General features: G+C 36.9%; 1 protein-coding gene across 35 annotated transcripts in view; it reads left to right on the forward strand.

The window, feature by feature from the left end:
* The window catches only part of HMBOX1 (homeobox containing 1), a 163,155-nt gene that overhangs the window by 49,092 nt on the left and 88,394 nt on the right, over positions 1-25,669 (forward strand). For all 35 annotated transcript variants that reach the window (NR_136758.2, NR_136757.2, XR_001745595.2 and 32 more), the window contains one exon: positions 24,604-24,683. Coding sequence is in view for 32 of the 35 variants with exons in the window: in XM_047422223.1 (XP_047278179.1) it covers positions 24,661-24,683 (23 nt within the window). In the remaining 3 variants the exon portion in view is untranslated. The remainder of the gene's footprint in view (positions 1-24,603; positions 24,684-25,669) is intronic.

A 25,669-nucleotide genomic window follows, 5' to 3' on the forward strand; every position in this document is an offset into this window, starting at 1 on the left:
GAACCTGGGAGGCAGAGGTTGCGGTGAGCCGAGATTGCACCATTGCACTCCAGCCTGGGCAACAAGAGCAAAACTCCGTCTAAAAAAAAAAAAAAGAAAAAAGGAAAGAACAAAACATGATATCACCCTCTAGAATGCAGATAATTCAGCAGCTTTTGAATGGATGTAGCAGTTCTTCTATTTTTGCATTGTTTTCAGTCACCCTCTAGTCCTGAGTGAAACATCTTTGATGCTCTGAAATAGTCATTGGAATAGGGCAGGAGTCACTGAAACCTTGCTTTGTTTTTTGTTTAGTTTAGTTTTTGTTTTTGTTTTTTGAGATGGAGTCTTGCTCTTGTCGCCCAGACTGGAGTGCAGTGGTGCCATCTCGGCTCACTGCAATCTCCGCCCCCCCTGGGTTCAAGTAATTCTCCTGCCTCAGCCTCCCGATTAGCTGGGACTACAGGCACCCACCACCACGCCTGACTAATTTTTGTGTTTTTAGTAGAGACGAGGTTTCACTATGTTGGCCAGGCTGGTCTCGAACTCCTGGCCTCTGGTGATCCACCCGCCTCGGCCTCCTGAAGTGCTGGGGTTACATGCGTCAGCCACCGTGCCCGGCCGAGGAACTTGTTAAAAAACACCAGCCCTAACCTCACACTCTGATTGCAGTAAGTTGGGGATCAGGCAGTGTCAAACAGGCTGCTTTTTAAAAAATCTCTTGTATTTTGGCCCTTCCCATAGTAGGTCTTTTACGCATGATGTTCCCTTTGCTTCTTTGTCTATATAATGTCTGCCCTTCAGATCTGAGCTTTATCTTTTAAAAAAAAATTGTTTTAGATTTTTTTTGTATTTTTTTTGTTTGGAAACAGAGTGCAATGGTGCTATCTCGGCTCACCGCATCCTCCATCTCCTGGGTTCAAGCAATTCTCCTGCCTCAGCCTCCTGATAGCTAAGATTACATTCATGTGCCACCACACCTGGTTAATTTTGTATTTTTAGTAGAAACGGGGTTTCCCCATGTTGGTCAGGCTGGTCTTGAACTCTCAACCTCAGGTGATCCGCCTGCCTCAGCCTCCCAAAGTGCTGGGATTACAGGCATGAGCCCACCGCACCTGGCCTGTTTTAGATTTTTTTTAAAAGACTAGTTAATGAGCTTTATCATTAGTTCCTAAGGTGAATCCTTTCCCAACCTCTCTGACAAAGTCAACTCTCCCACATTATATGCTCTCATAGCACTCAATACCCCATTAGAATGTTTATCCCAAGTGCAACTTTGCATTTATTTGTATTGTTATTTATGTAATGACTCTCACTACACTGTAAGCTTCCTAAGGGTAGAAATATGTATGTTCTTTTTCTCTGTTATATTCCTAATGACTAAAATAGTTCCTGGAACACAGTTGTTGCATAATAAATATTGAGTGGGTGGAGGAATAATGGTTTGCAGACATCTTTTGGACAAGCAATGGACCAGGAGTTCTGGACCCTTGCATTCTGTCTCTGGCTTCCAACTGATACGTAATTTATCTCTTAACTTTTCTCTGTCTCTTTTAGTATTGTAAAACTGAATGAAACCTGCCCTACCTACTTAACAGGTCATTGTGAGCATCAAATGAGAAAAGTGAAGGTACTTTGAAAAGTATAAAGGTTCTATTCACATATAAAATTACGTTAAATAGCTCCTGATTTAAGTGGAAGGCACTGTAGTGGATACAAAGTATAATACTAATACATGGATCATGTTATTGTTATTTATTCTATAACCTATAGGAGTTGTATTTCAAGATGGAGTTTAGTTTCTAATTCTTTTATATTTTACTTTTTGCTTATCTTAGAAATTATCTTACTATTCATTGTTTAGAGTAGTGAATATTATTTCCCCTTGTGAAAAGCATGTAAAGAAAAATTACCTAAGCCTAGTCCTCATATTTTTTTCTTTTCTATGGTTCAGAAAGCTCTATGGTTTCAGCACAAACTATCTTTTACAAATGGCTCATCTGTGTATTTATAAATATTTTGTGCTGTGGGGCATAAAGAGATTGTATATGTTAACTCTGGTTAAAATGGAATAGGAAAACATCAGTTAGATAAATTGAATTGAAATAAATACTTTATTGTATTTTGGGAACAGGGCAAGATGTCCTCAATTTAAAAAACAAAATAACTCTATATTGGGTCATTACATAATTTTCTACCACTAGGTTATTAAAATATATTTATGTTTTCCCCTTATTTTCTGTTTCCAAATCTTACCTTTACTTTTTTATTTTTCTAATTTTTCTTCTTTTTAACTTCAACAATCTGGGTTGCAGAGGAAAAAAACCTGGCACTTAATCAAGAACATGATCTCATTGCTTTCAATGGCTTAGAAAAGAAACATTTTAAAGCAGTTGAAAGATTTCACTTTAGAAAGTAGGTACTGCATAACTAAGTGTGTTGGTTCCCAGCAGAGCCTTGAGTAACCTCTTTCCAGCCATCCTCATGTTTTTTCTGTTCTACTTCCTGTTCAGTGAGCAGTAGCCTAAGTTTAAAAAAAAATTCAGTAAGAATTTCCTTTGGCGCTCTTGCCAGAGTATTGTTTTCTGTTCTTTTACTTCTCTACATACTACTGTTATATTTTTGTCGATTGATTGCTTCTAGGCTTCATTACCTATAGACAGAGATGGAGAATAACTTTTAGTTTCCTCTTGCTTACACAAACCCCCCAGCCCTTTCAGAGTCCTCTTCAGTATTTCTAGGAGCCCTTGAATGGAATGTGACATGTGTTCAAGAACAGAAACGAATACTCTTTCCTTACAGCCTCCTTGGGAAGTCCATCCGCCCTCAGGCCACCCCAGTGTGGTACCTATCAATGCCACTGCTACTGGGTCCTCTGTGAGGGATAGTAGCAGTGTGAGAAATGCTGTCTTTAGTGCTTCAGAGCTGCCAGTCTTCAGGGTGCCCCGGAGGTGCCAGGCTGAATTAGACCAGTTCAAGGAGCCAGATGGAAAAAGACACCATGCCATTTATTCCATTGTCCGTAGTTCAGCGCAGTCTCCTTCTGCTCACCCCTTCACCCGCTCTAGGTTCTTGCTGAAATCTCCAGCATCCTTGAACAAGGCAAAATAGCATATATGTGGAGGGAGGGGGTCATTGCCACACCAGTTCTAGTAGTTACTTAATTTCTTAGTCATATTTGGAATCAGCTCAGCCAACTTGTTACATTTTTAAAACATAATTTTAACCTGCTACAGAATTCAAAAAGTACAAAAATGTATCCAGGGGACAGTCTCCTTACTGCCCCCATCCCTCAGTTATTAAGTTCTCCTCCTTGAGGGAATTAATACTACCAGTTTCTTTTGTATCCTTCCAGAAATATTTCATGCATGTGTAAAAACAAATCTATATATAGTTATTTATATTGTTCCCTACTTTCCTCCTCCTGCTGCTCCTTCATAACTGACATGTGTATATTCAGCTCCTTGTTCTTTTCTCTCGGAGTCTGTTTCATATTAGCACATAACGAATTTTCTTATTTTTTTTAATAGTTGCATTGTATGGCTATACTATAACTTATTTATGTAGTCTCCTAATGGTGGCATTTAGGGTGTTTCTGATCTTTTGGTATTACAAATAATACTGCAAAGAATAATACTGAACATAAATTATTTTGCTTATGAGTGTATCTGTAGCATAAATCTCTACTACTGGAATTGCTAGGTTAAAAGTTGTTTGCATTGTAATTTGGATCCTGCTACCTTTTCAGTTACTAAACTCTGAGGGGCTTTGTTTGGCTTTTTGGCTTTTGTTTTGTCTCTGATTCCTAGCTTCTACTCTAGACTCCTGCTTTTTGTGAACCGCTTCTTCACCATCTGATTTTATTTGATGATTGATCAGGCAGTGCCCAGGCAATATGAATAAGTAGACCAGGTATAAGGAGAAAAAAATAGGTTGTTGTGTTTCACGCTGTAGGGGAGGTAAAATTTCTTCTGTGTCCGTTTAGGGTCTCTGGCTGGACCCAAGAATTAAACTGATGTAAGATAAATTAACAAGAGAAAAAGCATACAAATTGTATTCAATAATTTACATGTACATGGGAGCCCTCACAAGAAAATGAAGACCCAAGGAAGCAGTGAGGACCAAAAGCTTATATACTGAGTGGACAAAGAGTAGTAAATTGTGAAAACATGACAAGGCAAAGGGATTTGGGCTAGAGCAGTTTGTCGTGGAAAACTGACTAGGCAGATAAGGGTTAGTTTAACAAGGTTTGTTTGTACAGATTTCTCGTCCTCAGCTCTCAGGCTCTGGTGATAAGAATGTCTTCCTTCCTCCTGGTACAGGGAGGGCACCTTTCACATGGAAATGTTATCTTCTGCTTTCAGGAAGGAAAGGAAGGTCAGAGTGCCTTCTTGTATCTGCTGTTTTTCTAGTGCCCTTAACTCAAGATAATCAATATGCCAAAGTGACGTATTTTGGGGTGGCATGCTCTGAACCCTGTTAACACTTTTCATAGAGACATAAGTATAAAGAATTATGTCTCTTTCACAGTATAACCTTCAATGATAAATGAGAGTTGATACTTGGTGTCTAGAGATGGTGGGGTTACCACTGTCACTCTGCCCTGTGGTGAACTGAAAGGTGCATGTCCTGTATCAAGGGATTACATAAGGGATTACAAAGTCAGTGGTGACAGATGCTGCACTTCTTCTGTAAAAACAGAAGCCTCAATATTTATATGCAGCCTCCCAACTTTTAAATACTGTGTAGGTCAAAATACGTCCACAGGATTGATCCAGCCCCATAAGCCAGGAGTTTCTGCCCTCTACTGTTGTACATACAGAGACACCTTCTTGGCTTGTTTCTCTAGCGCTGACTTTCTACATATTCTAGTCTCTCATCATCTGCTACAGGCTAGATACTGCCCCTAGATGGTCCACTGATTTTTACAATATTCAGTTCTGCATATCATCATTGTCTGTCTTCTGAAATCTTTATTTGCAGTTTCCTTTACCCTTGATGTTTTTTAGTCACAACGTACAGAATCATGAGATTCGAATACTGCATTTGTGTTCATTTAATCACCATATCCTATGAATCCAACAAGCATTTTTATTATTAAGTGTAGACTGTTAGAATTTTAGTAACTAGGAACAGAAAATACAGACATTTGTTATGTTCTCTTCATGATCTCTACCAAGATTCTTTCTAGAGTCTGGTCATTATTTGAAGGAGCAGGAGAGCATGATCATTGATACTGGTTAAGTATTATTAATAAAATAAAGCTTACCAAGAAAAGTTTTTCTGTCTGAAGTCATTCATGGCATCCTTTGAATGTGGTTTGTTCTGTGAGGTACTGGAAGAGGAATTAATAACTTGAGCTAAAGTCTCCAAACGTTGGATTACTATTCCCATTGGATCAAACATCTTAACCTGGTGGGTCTCCAGTACTACATCCTTATTTTATTTTTTAGAAATTCCCACTGGAGAGAGGTGTACAGTTGTCACTAATCATTTTTCCTCTTCCTCTTGTTGGACCTGTTTCCAATCCATCAAAAGTGATTACACAGCTATTAGGAAGAAAAAGGTAATTCCTTCAAGATGGTTAGAAACTACTGCTTTGATTCTTTTTCTCAAATGGTAATTTATTCATAATTAGAATAATTAAAAGGTTTGTTAGAGGCACTGTAAAAAACTGAATTTTGGAAAGAAACTTGGGACAATGAGTCCCTGCAGTTGCTGGGGGAAAGCAAGCCTCATCCAAGCAGTTCTTGGCTGAGAGATACCTGCCTAGCTCTGGATTTCTGCGCATTTAGGAAACAACTTTCTCATCATAGTTTGATTCTGCAAACTCCCCCACTCAAAAGCAAGTGTTCTCAATAAGCCATTCCAATGTTGTTATTTTTGTTACAAATACTATTTTGTGTGACTTTACCGTCCTTAAGAGGTTTCCCTAAAGATATGATAGCTTTTAGAAAGGTTAATGCTTCAAACTTTCAAAGAGGCAAAAGTGCTAACATTTCTAGGTGCCTACTTTAGGAGCTTCTTCTACTGTATCTTTAGTTCTCATACTGATCCCTTGAGGAAGATATCATTGTCCACAATTTACAGAAGAGGAAATGAGGGCTTAACAAGATTAAGAAATTTGTGCAAGATCAAACTGCTAACAAGTGGTAGAACCTGAGGTCAAATACACAGCAGTCTTGCTTAAAATCTTATTCTTTGTGATCTCTTACTTTATCCAACTCCAAGTTTTTCATTTTAGGACGATTACTTTGTTAACTATGTATAACAAGAATAGGACTGAAGGTAGGGAGAGTGGTTGAAAACCATTGCATTAGTATAACAGAAAGAGAAGGTCTCAAGTAAGATAACAGTAGGATTGGAGAGAAGGTTATAAATAAAAGAACCTGCTAAGGAGGGCAGTTGGCACCACTTAGTGTAGGATTTTTGTATTTTGTTTTAGTTTATCATGTAAAGAATGAATTTTTCCAGCTGTGAATTTCAGTTTAAAATGATGACCTATCGATTATATTTTGAATTTATCTAATAACAGTATTTTGGGATATGACACAACATAAAGTATAAAGGCAGAATTTTAAGAGTCCATTATTCTCTGCCTTTCATGGGGAAAAGGTTTTTTTTTTTCCACTTTTTGAAGTAACTTTAATAAGATACAATTCACATACCGTACAATTTACCCATTTAAAGTATATAGGTCAAAGAATTTTACTATATTCACAGTTGTGTAACCATCATCAAATCCATAGGGCATATTCTTTTTTTTTTTTTTTTTTCCTTTATTGAGACGGAGTCTTGCTCTGTCACCCAGGCTGGAGTGCAATGGCACGATCTTGGCTCACTGCAACCTCCGCCTCCCAGGTTCAAGTGATTCTCCTGCCTCAGCCTCCCAAGTAGCTGGGATTACAGGTGCCCACCACTATGCCCAGCTAATTTTCGTATTTTTAGTAGAGATGGGGTTTCACCAAGTTGGCCAGGCTGGTCTCGAGCTCCTGACCTCAGGTGATCCACCCGCCTCGGCTTCCCAAAGTGCTGGGATTACAGGTGTGAGCCACCGTGCCCGGCCCATAGGGGATATTCTTAATACAATTGTGTTGCCCAGGCGTGGTGGGTGGCTCATGCCTGAAATCCTAGCACTTTGGGAGGCCAAGGTGGGCGGATCACTTGAGGTCAGGAGTTTGAAACCAGCCTGGCCAACATGGTGAAACCTCGTCTCTACTAAAAATACAAAATATTAGCCTGGCATGGTGGTGGATGCCTGTAATCCCAGCTACTTGGGAGCTTGAGACAGGAGAATCACTTGAACCCGGGAGGTGGATGTTGCAGTGAGCTGACATGGTGCCATTGCACTCCAGCCTGGGGGACAGAGTGAGACTCCGTCTCAAAAAAAAAAAAATATATACAATTGTGTTTGATATGTATTTTCAAATCTTTATTTTTATGTGTCTTAGCTCAGATAAAAAGAGCATGCGATATAAATTTAGCTCATTTAAAAATGCTGGTTAAAAATAACATAAAAGAATTTAAAGCCAATTTGAGTCTGGAAATTATTCCAAAGATTGAAGAGGTCTTGCCACCTGTAGTTACATATAAATCCATAGTACAATGGGTACTTTGTGAGACCTCGTTATATTTGGTTGCATACAATAAATAACAAATATTAACACTGTATATTTGTATGGCACATTGTAGTTTATAATTATCATTATAGTTTGAGAACCCAGGAGCTTGTCAGTAGGTATCTGAGGAAAATAATTCAGGATAAGGGATTTAAAACATATGGATACTTTAGAAGATAAAATTGAGATAAACCCTTGTCATTTTGGAGTAGAATACATTATCTTGAGGAACATAAGAAAGAGAGAAAATGTGATGCTTATCTGTAGCCCAGGTTTTTAAAGACGGGTGTGTAAGAAAGATGTATGTTCCACAACTCAGATGGAGAGCGTTTTTTCATGAATTGAGGTAATTTTTATGTCTGTTAGCAAGGCAATATAAAATGTGAGGCCCTAAAATAACTCTCTATAGTAGACTCTGAGGAATTCAGAGAAATAAACTGTTGTCCTTGAGTTGCTTACAGTATCATGAGTATTGGGTAAAGGATAAGTTGGCTCTGTGGAATTTGTTAGACTTCAGCTTTTAGTTGTGAACCACTATCTGACTGCCCACCTGGTTATTCTGAATTATATATTAGCATATCCTCCTGAGATGTGGAAAGTAAAACACTCCTCCACTTCTCTTGCAATTGAGAGCATATGAATTCTTTCATCCTCTGCCTTCTTTTCTTCCTTTCAGCACTCGCTACCTAGTAAATTGACTGATGATGCATCAAAGCTAGTTAGAAGAGTAGTTGATAATACTCTGAAGTACAATTTAGTGGATGCTGGGACTGTCTAAAAATAATGTCTCAAGTAACCTGTTGATATTATCAGAAATTCTACCGTTAGCAATTCATGCTAAATCTCTTGTTAAATTGGATTATCCCTACTAAGGCTGTTGACTTAATCCACGTTAGCTAAGATAATATTTCATATTTTTAATAGAAATTTTCTAATGTAGATTCTCCTTTGATCTGTCCCTCCTGCCCCCGCCCCTGATTTCATGTTCTCACGTTACTTTGTTCATACAGCTCTAACCATATTGTCTTCGTGCAGTTTCTTTGAAACTGATAGGCTGTGAGATCTTGATCTTGAATGCTTTGTCCCTTATATCTACATGGCTTGCTGCCTAATTTCATTTATTTATTTATTTATTTGAGACAGGGTCTTGCTCCTTTGCCCAGACTGGAGTATAGTGGTGCAGATATGCTCACTACAGCCTCTATCTCCTGGGCTCAAGTGATCTTCCTTCCTTGGCCTCTCAAAGTGCTGGGATTGCAGGCTTGAGCCACTGTACCAGGCCTAACCTAACCTTGTTTAAATCTTTATTAAGATTTTATTTTCTCAGTAAGACTTTCTCTGAGCATTCTATTTAAATTCATTATCCTACCATCCACTGTCTCTATCTTCTTTCCCCACTTTTTGTTTCTCCATTGTACTTATCATGACCTGAAAATACATTTTTTTACCACAAGAATGTAACCTCCATGTGAGCAGGAATTTTGTTTTGTTCATTGCTGTATTTCCCAGTTACCCATGCAACAGGTGCTTAGTAAATATTTGCTGAGTGCATAAATGAATGTATACATGGGTCTCGCAGGATTGAGGCATAAAAGAAGTGCCTATGTAGAGAGGATACCATTTATCTCATGTTACAGGTTTTTTAAAGATGATATTCTGTGAAAATAATGTTTTAAAATTTTATTTTCTTCCCCTTCTACAGGAAATCCTTGTCTATGGCCAGCTATGGAGGGCTTCTGTTTGCGCATTTATAACAATTCTGAACTCTTAACAAAACCTTTGAATGACATGCATTTAGTAGATCTTGAGTTTCTGAATGTCTGGAATTTTTGCTTTTATTTATTGTGCAAATTAGTGTAAGCACTAACCTGGGAATCAGAGTTTCTGGCTCCTATGATCAGATTTTTTTTCATCTATAAATTGATGTGACTGGAAAACATGATTGTTAATATCAGTTCTAGCTTAATATAAGATTTTATTATTTACCTTATTCTAGCTTAATGAAATCTCTTTCTCCAATTCTATAATATTTCCTTTATTAAGGGTTGGGAAACTTCTGGGGTAAGGGAAATGCAAAATAAGGAGGAAGACATTAAATCTTCCAGAAACTCAAGACCACAAGTTTTTGCTCTAGTAATTGTTTATTATACTCTGCCTGCAAAGCAAAGAGAGTAGAGGTTTCAAAGCCACATGAATGTTTGAGTAATAAATCAGGGCATCTGTATTAGTTCTATGAGTAAACTTTAATTTTTTAACATGAAAATATTCCCGATGTATGCCAGTAGGAATAGTTTTTGTTTGTTTTAGTCCAGGAGATAGTTTCCTTTTTTGAATAATAGTTACACAGACATTAAAATTATTTATGATGATGATAGGAGACTCTGCAACTCAGCTTTTTAAGTTTTCCTGTTGGAGTCAACTCTGGAGAGCTGTCATGGGCTAAGCAACATAGAGATGTTGATCTGGATTCTCAGTCTGGTATTTTTTAGCTACCTTGGTGGAGGGGTGGGGCACCTGCAGGCTTAACAGAGTTTGGCCTGCAAGGCACTGTGATGTAGATCATAAATCAGTGACAGGGTAGGGTGGTAACTCTTTCATCCTGAGAACACATATTATTTACCCGATTATCAAGAACAAAGCCTATTTATCTTTGTAACTTTAGCATTTTGGCTTGCAGTGGATACTTAATAAATTCTTATTAATTATCTTGGAAAATGTTCCAATTATGTTATTTTTAAATTTAGTATCACAGAATCTTTTGGTACTAATTTTTAGGACTGGAACCCTTAAGATGATCTTACTTAAATAAGACTTCAAAATGGGCATTTTCTTTCATTTCTTCACTAAGCAAAGATTTATTTACTGCTTGTTGCCAGCTCATTGGTAGCAGCTGAGGCTGCAGCAATTGATAAGAAACAATCCCTGCTCTTATGCTCACATTCTAGTAGGGAAAGACAGATAGGTATACAAATTATTGTAATACAGGATAACAGAAATATATGTGTGGTGCTGTACTAGCAGAGTTTTGTAAAGTTTATTTGCTGTCCTGAGGCCAGTAGAAAAGAAAGGGGAGGAAGGTATTCTGGTTCAGAAGGGCTAAGGGACCTGATTGGCTGGGGCAAGTAATTACTATGTGGGATGAGAGCAACAGAGGTTAGAGACTAGTTTGGGAATTCTTATGAGTTACTTTCACCAATATCATATATGAATTCCTTTGAAGTAGGCATATCCTAAGTGCTGTCAAGTTTATCTTCAATTATGATTAAATCATTAAATGTATTTCATCAAGTATTCAGCTCGGAATGCCAGTATGTATGTCTTTATGCCTTGACATTCTATTTTACCCAGGAGATATGGCATTGCATCATGAGAATTTTTCTTGTACTGTCAACCAGTACATAGTTTCCAAGTGGAATTATCTTAGAAGCCGTTTAAAAATACTCTTGGACCCCCACCTCTAGTTTAGATTCAGTAAGTCCAGAGTTGTCTGGGGATTCTATGCTTATAAAAGACTTACATGTGATTCTGATGTACAGCACAGTTTGGGAACAATTGCACTAAACTGACATGGAGAGAAAGTTCTACCTGCTGTAATACATTTGTACTGTAATTCAGTAAGAATGGAATAGGTTCACATGTAACTTAACAGTAATGACCCCATGGGAGTAGAGCACTCTGAGATTTCCATAGAAGGGAATGCTAAATGTAGTATATTGTAAACAGTGGCGGCTCCTTAGATATGTTTTGAATTTAAACGAATCTGAAGATCTGAAGTCAAACCACAGATTGTACAGTTACAACTCTGAAACAGTGAAGCCACAGGGGAAGTGACATTTAAACTGACTATGCTTGAAGGTGATCATGGTTGGAGTCAGTACGTTAGAGGCACAACTGTATAGAGGTAGAGATGGTAGCTCAGCTCCGACCTAGGGATAAGTCTTCTCTGACATTTCCTAGCATAGTTCAACAGAGTTTACCAGTTACTCACTATTAATAATAGAGAAATATATATTTGTATTTTAGATGACATATTTTAGAATAGGAAAAAGTAGGGAACATAATTGAGATCAACAGTAAAAGCCACCATGTGTTTTAAAGTAATCAAGACCTATAATTCCTGTACTAGGCTATTATAGTAAATTCTAGAGGGTATGTGGCAGTCATATGGCTTTTCTGATTACCTGTATTTATTGATAAAGCTCTAAGATCATATGACAGTAGCCTGGAGCCTCTTGTCCAGAAGCCATAAAGAATGTGATGTTTTAACCTCTTCTATCTGTTCATGAGTTAGTTCAGCAAATATTTAGTGCCTGTTACGTTCCAGATAATATTTTATTTATGTTTTTTGAGCAGAGTCTCACTCTGTCACCAGGCTGGAGTGCAGTGGCACGTTCTCAGCTCACTGCACCCTCCACCTCCTGGGTTCAAGCGATTCTCCTACCTCAGCCTCCCAAGTAGCTGGAACTACAGGCGCATGCCACTACGCCCAGCTAATTTTTACATTCTTAGTAGAGACAGGGTTTCACCTTGTTGGCCAGGATGATCTCGATCTCTTGACCTTATGATCCGCCCACCTCAGCCTCCCAAAGTGCTGGGATTACAGGCGTGAGCCACTGCGCCCGGCCCAAATAATATTTTAGGAGCAGATATAGATAATAGACAAATAAAATCAATATATAATATGTCAAGTAGCAATGCCTGCTTAGAGGAAAAAGACAGTGAAAATAAGACTATTTTGTTTAACAACAACAACAACAAAAGCTGAGTTTAGGAAAAGGAAGCCTGGAAAAAAGAGAAGCTGGTGTGGTTGTATCATACATGTTTAATCAGTGCTTCTTGAATGAATGTGCAAAAGACACAGGTGTTATCTGCAAATTTAATATACAAAAAAATGACGTGGTGAAGAGAGAAAGTACTGAATATAATTTTAAAATATAGGCCCAGAGAATTAATAGTTTCCTTTCATTCTGCTCTGGTTAGGCTCTCTGCAGGAGTTTTGTGTTGAATTTGGGGAGCCACTTTTTAAGAGAAACTCTGACATGCACATCTGAAGAAGGCAGTCAAGATAATAAGAAAACCAGGCTGAGCACGGTGGCTCCCACCTGTAATCCCAGCACTTTAAGAGGCCAAGGGAGGAGGAACACTTAAGCCCGATCAGGAGTTTGAGACCAGCCTGGGCAACATAGTTGGATCCCTGTCTCTACAAAAATTTTTTTAAAAATCAGCTGGGCATTATGGCATGTGCCTGTAGTCCCAGCTACTCTGAAGGTTGAGGTGGGAGGATTGTTTGAGCCTGGAAGTTTGAGGTTGCAGTGAGCTCTGATGCCTGGGTGACAGAGTAAGACCCTATCTTAAAAAAAAAAAAAAAAAGAAAAAGAAAAGAAAATGAGAAAACCATATCCAACTGGAATCAGGACTAGGAATATTTATTTATTTAGTTGTATTTTTGAGGCGGAGTCTCACTGTCACCCACGCTGGAGTGCAGTGGCATGATCTTGACTCACTGCAGCCACCACCTCCTGGGTTCAAGCGATCCTCCTGCCTCAGCCTCCCGAGTAGCTGGGATTACAGGCCCCCACCACCGCTTCCGGCTAATTTTTGTATTTTTGTTAAAGACGAGGTTTCACCATGTTAGCCAGGCTGGTCTCAAACTCCTGACCTCAAGCCATCCACCCGCCTGGGCCTCCCAAAGTGCTGGGATTACAGGCATTAGGCACCGTGCCCAGCCAGGACTAAGAATATTTAACATGGAGACTATTTGCAAAGATTATGCTGATTTTTAAAAAGGCTGACTTGTGGAAAAAAAAAATTTAATCTTTATCAGTCCAGCCAGACAAATAGGTTGAAGTTACAGGAAACAATTTTAGAAACTATAAAAGGAAGATCTTTATCAGTAAAACTCTCCAATAAGCTTTCTGGTCACTGGAAGTGTAGGAAAGGCTACACGAGTATCTATAGGTCTATCAGTTTTTGACAAGTACTGTATGTAATAATTCTTTTGGAATAAAAATATCCATGATATGTGATATATGTAACTTTAATCACAAATCATAATGATGCTTGACTTCTTGCACAGTGTTTATCACAAGTAAACATTTGCCCAGAGAAATGATAACAAAGAGTATTTGAATCTTACATTTTGGAGAAAGGTGAAGCCTACTATAGCAGAACTACAGTTCTGCTAAGACAAGGGAAGTCCGTTAGCTGATTGACCTTGGGCAAGTAGTGTCTTGTCTTAATTACCTACCTGAAGGGATTCTGAGATTAAACGAGCTGTTAACTATAAAGTACTTATTTCCCAGTGAGTGTCTGACCCAAAGAAGTGTTCATTAAATAGTGATAGTAGTTGTTCTTTACCATTTTAAACTATCAGGAGGCATTATTTGAGAGATTCATATTTCAATCATCATTTTTAATTCCTGTTTCTATGGTATGTGTTTTCCTTGTGTCACCAACCATCCTTCACCCCAGACCCTCCATGTGTCTGTCTCTCAAGTCACAGCTAACTGTAGTAAGGCCTCATTTATTGGTTATTGTTTGAGGGAAAAACTGTTTGGCATGAGTGCAACACCTTCTGATTAACTTCCTAAAAGGTAAACTTGTCTTTTAGCCATTTTAGCTTTAAAAAACATAGTTTCCTGCCTGTTTAAAACAAAGATCCTAAACATGACTTTAACTTCTCGATGAGTCACTGTTATGTGTAGCTGTAATTAAATAGTCATTTTCATTTACTTTATTTTCTTCTCTTCTGGTAGCTATCATTTTTTTTTTTCCAGTGGTTAAGCCTTTTTATACTCTCCCAACCACTTTTTAAGTTTCTATGTCTAGTCTGGATTTGGAAATCAGATATTGGCATTTGCTAAGAATTTTATGTATTAAAATGATGAGATACCTGATACCTGGAATTTGCTTGAGAATACCTCTTGGAGCAGGGAGAGGAGGAGATATAAGATTGGCCATGATTTGCTAACTGTTCAAGCTGGGTGATAGGTATATAAGCGTTCATTAACTGTCTCCTCTTTCTGCTCTTTTACATGTTTGCAAATTTTCATAATAATAACTGATTTTAAAGAACCACCAGTTAAAAAAAGAGTTGTATGTTAGCTGTATGCAGGCCTATGCATATTTTGTATCTTTGTAAGGATTCACAGGAAACTGGTATTTATCTTTGGTCAGTAGCACTGAGAGTTTAGGGGAGAGGATGTTCACTTTTCTTTTTATCCTGCTGGAGTTTCATGATATTTTTTACCTCTATGAGCTGTGTTTATTTTTATATTTATGTATATATGTATTTTTTAAACATTTATATCTAGTCAGGAAGGAGGTTCATATTCTCATCTGTAAATTGAAAGTGCCAATAATGTCTAATTTATGGGATTCTGAGCATTGCATACTTCTCTATTTTAAACTTTTTTGGTTTTATTTTTATAGATATTTTAGATGGGTAAAATTGGGTTCTGTGTAAGGGACTAAAGGAGCAGCTTTAGAAGGGGCTCTGTAATGGTGTTTAAATTTTGGGGGATTATTTTTTATTATCCAAATCTGGGCTTAAGGGTCTTACTAGTTGGTCTATGTAGTATCCCCCATCATCTCTCCCAATGATGGCTTGCTTGCTGCCTGTGCCACCCTTTCTTAATTCTTTGCTTTCTTCCAGAAGCCTTACATTCTTCTTAATACTTCTTTCTTCCCTGATTTAAATATTCTGTCCTTTCTGTGTGTACCATTATTGAGTGAAACAGATCTATGCCAAGCTGTACAATGTAAATTCAATTTTAAATCACCACTAACATATTGGATTCACAATGCAGCATTTTTTGAAGATGGGAGTATAAACTGGTGCCTCTTTGGGAGGCAATTTGACAAAATCTGTCATAACTTAAAATGTATATACTCTGTCACAACAATTATACTGCTAGTGTTTTACCCTAATGATGTACTTACACGTGTACAAAGATGTATGAAGAAGGATGGATGACAAGAAACTATGGTGTGTGGGTGGAAAAGAAGAAGGACTTTGGGGTGGGAGACCAGCTTACCTTTCATTTTATGTCTTTGAAAGTTTACTTTTTTTCTGTACCTTATACAGTAATTACTTTTTATATTCAAGAGAAAAACTAGGGTAGAACGAGCCATCTTGCCACCTTCTGGCAATACAGTATCGACAGGTTCTTATTCCTAATAGATTTTTCTTGATTATGTTTTTCTTCAGAGGTCAACATTGCTGATGGTAGGCGTCTTCATTGCTCTACTTGACTTCATGTAATATTTTGACAGTTCTAGTCCTTTGGTAATTCAGAGTTCATTTCTGATGGTAGGAATTCTTATAATTTTATCAAATATGCATATATATATATTTGTTACATGTATATATGTAAATGTGGCCATATGCTTTTTAAAAAGTATAGTCTCTTTTTTTTCTTCTCAAGTTGTTTTTTTTCTTTACTTCCTTCATTCCTTGGCTTCTGAGGCCATTCACATATCCTTCCTGATCCATATCCTATACGCACACCCATTCTTCACCCCAGTTCCTTTACGTGTTGCCCACCTATTCTTTTCTTCTATGCTCTTGTACATAGAGATGTGCATATGTATGTCTGCCTTTAGATACGCAAACTGATGTCAGAACACACATATAAAGGGATATTTTGGTTGTAGTTTTCTTTTTTAAATCCTGATCATATTATGCTTTCTTAAAATAGCATTTTATTTTTTACTCAACACTGCATTAAATAAATTCTACCAAAGTACTTGATAAAACTCTAATTCTTTTTAATGATTGGATTTGTGTTAATTGATTAAAGTATATTGTAATTTAGCCATTTCTGTGTTGATCGAAACAACTCTTTGTAGAAATAAGAAATTGGGGCTGGGCACGGTGGCTCACGCCTGTAATCCCAGCACTTTGAGAGGCCGAGGCGGGCAGATCACCTGAGGTCAGGAGTTCGAGACCCAGCCTGGCCAATGTGGTGAAACCCTGTCTCTACTAAAAATACAAAAATGAGCCGGGCATGGTGGTGGGCACCTGTAGTTCCAGCTACTAGGGAGGCTGAGGCAGGAGAATCGCTTGAATCCGGGAGGCAGAGGTTGCAGTGAGTTGGGATTGTGCCACTGCAGTCCAACTTGGGCGACAGAGTGAGACTCTGTCTAGGAAAAAAAAAAAAAAAAAAATTGGAAAGTAGGACGTTCTTGTATATATTTCCTTATGTATGGTTACTTTTATTTCTGTAGAATTGATTCTCAGGAGTAGGATTGCTAAATTAAAGGTGTAAGCTCTTTAAATTTTAATATATATCACTATATTTCTTTCCAAATGATGTCATAATCACATTTAGACCAATGAAATATGGTAGTATGATTGAAGATATGTCTGTTAAATTTTTACTGAAGTGATATCTCATTGTTAAACTGTTATTTCCTTGACTTCTAGTGCATTTGAGTATTTTTTGAATAAACTTGATAACTTGGATCTGCTCTTTCTCTACATGTCATGTTTTTTCCAGTTTAACTGCTTAAGTTTTTTTTTTCTTCATAATAGGAAATTTTTAACGTTTTGTTTATCTTTTGAAGTTTCTGGTCTTTGTTAAGCATATCTACAAGACCTGTCATCTTCTAAATTTTGTTGTAGATGTATTACTATGATTTATTTTTTACATTTGTCTTTATTCTGCCTGATACTTATTTTTTACATATAATGTAAGATAAAAATGCAATTGTTTTTTTTGCTAGATGATAACCAGTTTTTTTATTATAATTTTAAAAAATATGTATTCTTTCCTGCTGAATTAAAATGTAACCTTTGATAGCACATTGTGCCATATGTGCTGTAATCTATAATTAAGATCTTTATTCTGTCCTGCTCATTTGTGTGTGCGTTTCTATGCCAGTGCCATATTGATTTCATTACAGTGGCTTTTGAATGTATTTCTGATTATCTGGTCAGAGAAGTCCACTTTTGGTTTTCTTCTTTTGCACAATTTTCTTAGTAGTTCTTAAACTGTCTGCTCTAACCCCATTAAAAAGTGGACAAAAGACATGAGCAGACACTTCTCAAAAGAAGACTTACAAGCAGCCAGCAAACATGAAAAAATGCTTATCATTAATCATCAGTGAAATGCAAATCAAAACCACAGTGAGATACCATCTCACACCAGTCAGAATGGCCATTATTAAAGTCAAAAAACAACAGACGTTGGCAAGGCCACTGTAGAAAGCAATTTGGAGAGTCCTCAAAGAACCAACAATGGCCTGGGCGTGGAGGGTATAAACCCAAAGGAAAATATATTGTTCTACCAAAAAGACACATGCACCCATGTGTTCATTGCAGCACTATACACAATAGCAAAGACATGCAATCAGCGTAGGTCCCTATCAACAGTGGAACGGATAAAGAAAATGTACATTTATGCCATGGAATGCTACCCATAAAAAAAGAACAAAATCATGTCCTTTGCAGCAATGTGGGTACAGCTGGACTCCATTATCCTATGTGAATTAATGCAGAAACAAAATTAAATACTGCATGTTCTCACTTATAAGTGGGTGCTAAACTTTGGGTACACGTGCACATAAAGATGAGAGCAGTAGACACTGGAGACTCCAGGAGTGGGGAAGGAGGAAATCGGGGCAAAGGTTGAAAAAATAACTGTTGGGTACTATGCCCACTACCTGAGTGATGGGTTCAGTTGTACCCCAAATCTCAGCATCATGCAATATACCCTTGTAACAAACCTGCACATGTACCCCTTGAGTCTAAAATAAAAGTTGAAAAACAAAGCCTTTCTGCTCTATTAGGTCCTATTTTTATTTATTTATTTTTACTATTGTTATTATTTTTTGAGATAGCGTCTTGCTCTGCCGCCCAGGCTGGAGTGCAGTGGTACGATCTCGGCTCACTGTAGCCCCAGCCTCCTGGGTTCAGGCGATTCGCCTGCCTCAGCCTTCTGAGTAGCTGGGATTATAGGTGTGTGCCACCATGCCCAGCTAATTTTTGTATTTTTAGTATAGACGAGGTTTCACCATGTTGGCCAGGCTGGTCTCGAGCTCTTGACCTCAAGTGGTTCGCCCGCCTCAGCCTGTCGAAGTGCTGGTATTACAGGTGGTTCATGCCACCACGCCCAGCCTAGGTCCTATTTTTAAATTGAAAGGAAAACCTTTTTGGCTTCTTTCTCAATATAGTTATTCATAAATATTGGGAAAGGCTATCCCTGTCAATGAAAATCTCTTTCCCATTCTTTTTCTAGATGTTTCCTGCTCAATTAGAGAAACTTAATTTTAAAAGTATTGTATCATATCTCAATTTAATAATTTCTTTTATTTCAGGGTTTGGTTTTATTTTGTTTTGAAAGATACCGAGGTTTTGCTATATTGCCCAGGATAGTCTTGAACTCCTGGCCTCAAGCAATCTTCTTGCCTCAGTGTCCTGAGCCGCTGGGATTACAAACGTGAGCCACTGCAGACAGCTAATTTTCAGTTTTTTAAAAATATAATTGCTTGAGTTTTCTAGACATTGTATTGCCAAATCATTGACAAAAAGATATTTTTCTCTTTTATTCCAATATTTTTGCCAGTTAATTCTTTTCTGTCTTACCATTTTTCCTGTAAACTTTAAGTCAGTGTTTACTTATAAAGGATTTAGTGGGCTTCTCACTCTAATTCCTAATTTTATTCGTTTGATTTATTGTATAGGTAATAACATTCACATGGTTAAAATAATTTTTTAAAAAAGCTTCCTATGAACAGCTTCCTTCCCATTCCTCTCCGTAATCTCTGTAGTTCCTAACCCTGCATTCAAAGTAACCACTGTTATTGGATCTCTTCCACAGATTATTTTATGCATATAAAAGTGAAATTACACACATAGATACTCTCTCTATATATATTTATTGTGTGTGCATGCAATCTTAATTTTATTTGAAATGCTTTTAGTGTTTTGCTGTTTAGAATAATATTTGCCCTTCTTATGTTTTTACCAGAGTGTTTTTTTCTCTAGTCTTCTTTTCCATAGTTTTTTGTTTAAAATGGCTAAGTTTTACTGAATGCCTTTTCAACATCTATTGATATAATCATGTAATTTCTCTGCCTTAAATTGGTTGATATATTGGATTATGTTGATTTCCTAAAGATGGACCACTCTTGCATTTCTGCGTAAATTATAGTGGTATACAATGGACCCCCCTTATCCACCGGGAATACATTCTAAGACTCCCAGTAGATGCCTGAAACTGCAGATAGTATCAGACTCTGTGTATACTATGCACAGATTTCATTTTCCTTCTTCACAGTTTCACAGAAGATTCATTCTTCTTATAGATCTTAGTAATCTCAGCATATGATTTTTTTTTTTTAACTTAAGTTGAGAGCTTTCACCTTTTCACTGAACGGAAGCACTTTTGGCTTCTGTTTGGTGTATTGAAATTGCCAGCATCATTATTCTTGAGCTTTGGGGCCATCATTCTGTAGAATAAGTATTACTTAAACAGGGGCACTGTTAGATACCAGGACAGTCAGTGTGATAAGCTAGACAGCTAGTGAGTGAGTAAGGGTCAGGTAGGGTCTACAGTGTGGATGCCCTGAAGGAGGAGCATGAGGTTTCTAAGTTACTAAGAGTGGCTCACATTTTAAAACTTATGAATTGTTTATTTCTGGAATTTTCCACGTAATATTCTCGGACCATGGTTACTGCAGGTTACTGAAACCACAGAAAGCCAAAGTAAAACAGCAGATAAAGTGGGGGACTACTGTATTATTTCTCATATGTCCTACACTCTATAGTCTAATGTGAGTTTTTACTTAGATCTTTTACATTTAATTTTTAAGTGAAATGGTATGTTCTGTATACTACCTTTATTAGGTTTGCTGTTGAATAATTCTGGCTGCATAAAATGGATTGGAACATTTCCTGTATTTTTCTATAGTTTAGTATTATTAGAATTATGTTTTTTAAATAGATTAAGTCTGCTGAGAACTCAGCTGATTTTGATGCCTCTTTCTATAGATTCTTAATTACCTTTATTTTACTCTATTTGGTTTGACTAAAGAGTTTATTTTTTGGTCAATTTTGATATATTCTGTTTTACTGGGAAATCGTTTTTCTCTTTTAGGTTTTTAAATGAATTGTCATGCAGTTGCATTTATAATTTCTTAGGGTTTTTTTCCCCCAATACTATGGCTGTATTTTTCTTTTCCTTCTGAATCTTACCAGTTTTTTTCTCTCTTTTCTCTTTATTAGACTTTCTGTGTAATTATTTAATAGTCTTTCAAAGAGCCAACATTTGGACTTACTTATGCCTTCTGTAGCTTCATTTTATATTAATTTCAAATATTATTTCTTAGTTCCATTTTTCTAGCTTATTTTGGTGTACAGTATTTTATTTTTCTATTTTTTAAGTACTATTTTTTCTTTTGACTTTTAAAAATGAGCCACCGTGCCTGGCCTGGATTTTTGTTATGAAGAACAATCCTCTTTTTTGTCACAGTGTATTGTTATGTTGGTCATAATTTCTTTTGTGGTTTCTTCTTTGATCCAAGGGTTATTTATGATTATCTTGTAGTTTATAAGTAGTTATTTTTGTACATTTTTCCCTAGATTGTTTGGATTATATATATGAAATTAAACCTTTTGTTTTACCGTGTTTGTGATCAATTATGGTAATGGACATAGGGAAAAAAAAACTTCTTTGTTAGAAGGTTTACAAAGTATCTTTTTATCTTTAAAATTATGTTTATTGATAATATATCAAATTTCTGTTTTTTAAATTTTCTCCAACTATATTTGTTCATTCTAAAAGGTATACTGAAATAACTCATGTTTATACTTTAAAAAAAAATTATTAAAGTAGTTATGATTTTTGCTTTATTACCTCTCATGTTATTTGGTCTTTGTGTTTGTAACTCTTATATCTTGGTCATAAACTGTATATTTTATAATTGTAAACTTATTCTCTTTTTCTTTTTCTTTTTCTTTTTTTTTTTTTTTTTTTTTTTTTTTTTTTTTTTTTTTGGAGACGGAGTCTTGCTCTGTCGCCAGGCTGGAGTGCAGTGGTGTGATCTTGGCTCACTGCAACCTCTGCCTCCCGGATTCAAGCGATTCTCCTGCCTCAGACTCCTGAGCAGCTGGGACTACAGGTGCATGCCACCATGCCCAACTAATTTTTGTGTTTTTGGTAGAGACGGGGTTTCACCATGTTGGCCAGGATGGTCTCGATCTCTTGACCTCATGATCTGTCTGCCTTGGCCTCCCAAAGTGCTGGGATTACAGGCATGAGCCACCAGGCCCAGCCTCTCTTTTTCTTTTATAGGTTGCTTGTTTTCTATGGCCAGGTGCTTGAATGTGATCCAGCATCCATAAATTTATATCCCTAATGCCTTTTAATATAAAGTTTTTATTATAATGTTCTACTTTTTTATTGTGTTGAAATATGCATAACATAAAATCTACCATTTTAACGTATATAGTTCAGTGGCATTAAATACATACAGTATACAGCAGTCACCACCATCCATTTCCAGAACATTTTCATCCTCACAGATTGAAACTCTGTACCCTTAAATAATAACTTCTCATTATTCCTTGCCCATTTTACCCACCATGCTACTTTCTGTCTCTGTGAATTTGACTACTCTAGGTACCTCATGTAAATGGAATCATATAATATTTGACCTTTTGTGATTGGGTTGTTTCGCTTAGCATCATGTCTTCAAGTTTCATTCATGTTTTTGTGTCAGAGTTTCCTTCCTTTTAAAGGCTGGGACAATATTCTGTTTGTATATATATCACATTTCATTTATCCATTTATCTGCCAGTGGACATTTGGGTTATTCCCACATTTGGCTTTTGTGAATAATGCTGCTGTGAACACAGCCTGATTCCACTTCTTTTGGATAGATATCCAAAAGTGGAATCGCTGGATCATATGGTAATTCTGTATTTAGTTTTTTGAGGAACTGCCATACTGTTTTCCATAGTGGCTTCACCATTTTGCATTTCAGCCAGCAATATACAAGGATTCCATTTTCTCCACATTATTGCCACACTTGTTATTTTATGTTTATTTTTATAAATAATAGGCATTCGAATGGGTGTCATTTTATTTTTTTTTTTTTTTTTTCTTTTTTCTTTTTTTTTTTTTGAGACAGGGACTCATCATGTTGCCCAAACTAGCCTTGAACGTGTTGCCCAAACTAGCCTTGAACTCCTGGCCTCAAGTAATCCTCCTGCCTCAACCTCCTAAGTAGCTGGGATTACAGGTGTGAGCCATTGCACTCAGTGTGGATGTGATCTTAATACCCATTTTTATTTAGTTCCTGATCTGTTTTTAAAATAACTTGAAAACATCTGTCAATTAGAAAAAAATAATCTGTCTCCTCTGCCAGAAGAGCTTTATGAAATTGAGAGAATTCATAACATCTTGTTTGCTTGGTCTTCTGTTTTTAGAACATTCCTTTTTTTGTAGAATATTTTAAGCCCATTTATGTCTGAAATATAACTGACATAATTCAGTGTCTTATGGTTACATAAATTTGTATCAGTGACTTAATCTGTTTTCCTGTCTGTGAAATGAGGGTCTTTGATGATAACTTCCTAGCATGGAAGTTGTCAAAGGATCCCCTCTAGAAGGGGAGCCTGACCTTTTTTCTGTATTCATGGTGCATGCTACATGCTAAACATGCTACATGTAAACGTGCTGCATGGTTCTCATGATTACAGAATAAAGGTCAGGATCCCCTTCTAGATCATCTACTCCTCACACATACTGTGTTAAAGGCCAGCAACACAAGCCTACTAATTCCCTAAATAAATCTCATAATTTCTTTTCACTGTTCCCTCTTCCTGGAATCTTTCCTCCACTGATTCTCACCTCCCTCTACACCTTGATGTTGTGGAAGTCTTATTCTAATCCTCAAATAACAGCCAGATTTCACTCTAAGAAATCTTCCTAGTTCTCTCTAACCTGAATTAGTTTCTGGATTGTTACTCATATAAACGTTGTATTTTTGGTCTTTTTTTTTGTATTATATTTTTTATTTGAGAGGGGTGTGTCTATAATTTTTGTCCCTAGTCTCTATTCTCCCCACCTCCCGCCATTTAATGAACTCCTAAGCTCCTCTACTGTTGGGACCATATCTTACTCATATTTAGTTCTTGTGTCTATGCCAGGGCAAGCAGGTGCCTCATATATTTTAACTGAATTTGAGCAGGTAGTGAAAAATGTGTTTGTGGCCCAGGCTAGAGTGTGATGGTGCGATCTCGGTTCACTGCAACCGCCGCCTCCCAGGTTCAAGTGATTCTTCTGCCTCAGTTTCCCAAGTAGCTGGGATTACAGGCATGTGCCACCACCCCCGGCTAATTTTGTATTTTTAGTACAGTTGGGGTTTCGCCATGTTGGTCAGGCTGGTCTCGAACTCCTGACTTCAGGTGATCCACCCGCCTCAGCCTCCTAAAGTGCTGGGATTACAGGCATGAGCCACCACGCCTGGCCTGTTTTTAAGTCAACAAGAAAATTATCTACAACAGGAACTTCATTAGTGCTACAGTTTAGAATATACAAATATGAAAGGTTTCTAACTTTACCTTGTACATTTTGCATATATCATTAGTCATTGTTGGACACTTTGGCCATGCTTAATATAATTCAGTACTGAATATGTATTTCAATGTGAGAGTTTTTGACATCAACATTTTTAACTTTTGTCTAATTTATAATCTTAGAGTTAATGGAAATCAGTGCCTCTATAACTATGGTTTTAACCAGCTAATAAGTTGTCTTCATGATCTTTAGCTTCTAAACAATGAATAGTAGATACCATTTTTTGTTAAGATCTGTGTCTGAATTGAAAGGGATCAAAGTGTATGGTGAATAAAGCAGTAGAATGCAAATCAGAAGATATAATATTTAACATGATTAGCTAGTGTTAACTCTTGCTGTCCATCAGTTACATAATTAAAATTTTTATTCAGCACTTGATTAACATAAATGTTTCTCAATTTTCTATCTTTGTTCTACAGAATGGTAGATAACGCAGATCATCTCTGGAAAGGATATTGATCCGCCTCATGTAAAGTATGCTTAGTTCCTTTCCAGTGGTGTAAGTATCAAGTCCTTTTTGATTTTTATCTTCACAATCATTTTAGTAAAGTTAAGATGTCACTATGATTATGATCCAGATTTGACAACAGACGTTTGTAGAGTTGAAAAGCTTTTTTAGAAAATGAATCAAATGTTATACCTATTTGACATTAAGGTGAATAAGTGTCATGATCATGTGGTGAGAAATGAATTTTTAAATCTATCAGCCTTCTCTTACCATTTCTGTTTTCAACTTTGAATTTTAACATTAATTTTAAATTGAATATAAAATTAATTATTATTTTTAACTGCTTAAAGCTTAGAAGCATCCAAGATAGATGACTAACAGTTCAAGAGAGCTAATATTAGATTCCTTGTGACAAGCAGACTACTGGAAGCATACATCTTCATGTTGCCTTTTGTGTAAAAACTCCTAGCACCTTAACCATTTTCCTTTACCTGCTGGGGGCATGATGATGTAGTTAAGCCTATTAGCTGATGTGCTAGCCTTTCTTTGGAGTCAGGCAGAAAATACAAATTGAGATAGTGGTATTGTGTTGAGAGTGTTTTTGTGCTAGGATATGAACTATAACCACCAGTTCATATTAAATAGGCCTTTGAATAAAAGTATTCCGGGAATTTCAGATATTAGAGAAGACAGAGTATCTATTAGCTCATTAAGTGCATCTTTAGAGTCGAATGCAGAGTGCCTTTAGCATAAGTATTTTCTAAAATTTGATGGAGTCTCCACTTTGCTTAAATTCCTTCCGTTTTGGTTGACAGTTCTATAATACAGTAAGTAAACATTAAGAGAGATTTTCCTTATTATTTAGGCTTTTCATTATAGTTCCCCCACCCCCACCCCAGTAGATTCTATGATATAGTGAAAAGTTTCTGGAACAGACCTAGAAGATGTGAACTGTAGCCCGACTTTCTGCTAAGTAGCTATATCCTTGGGAAGGCACTTCACCTCTTTGGGCCTTAGTTTCCCTCCCCACTTTTTAA

The sequence above is a fragment of the Homo sapiens genome, chromosome 8 (genome assembly GCF_000001405.40).
Source record: "Homo sapiens chromosome 8, GRCh38.p14 Primary Assembly".
Classification (NCBI taxonomy): Eukaryota; Metazoa; Chordata; class Mammalia; order Primates; family Hominidae; genus Homo; species Homo sapiens.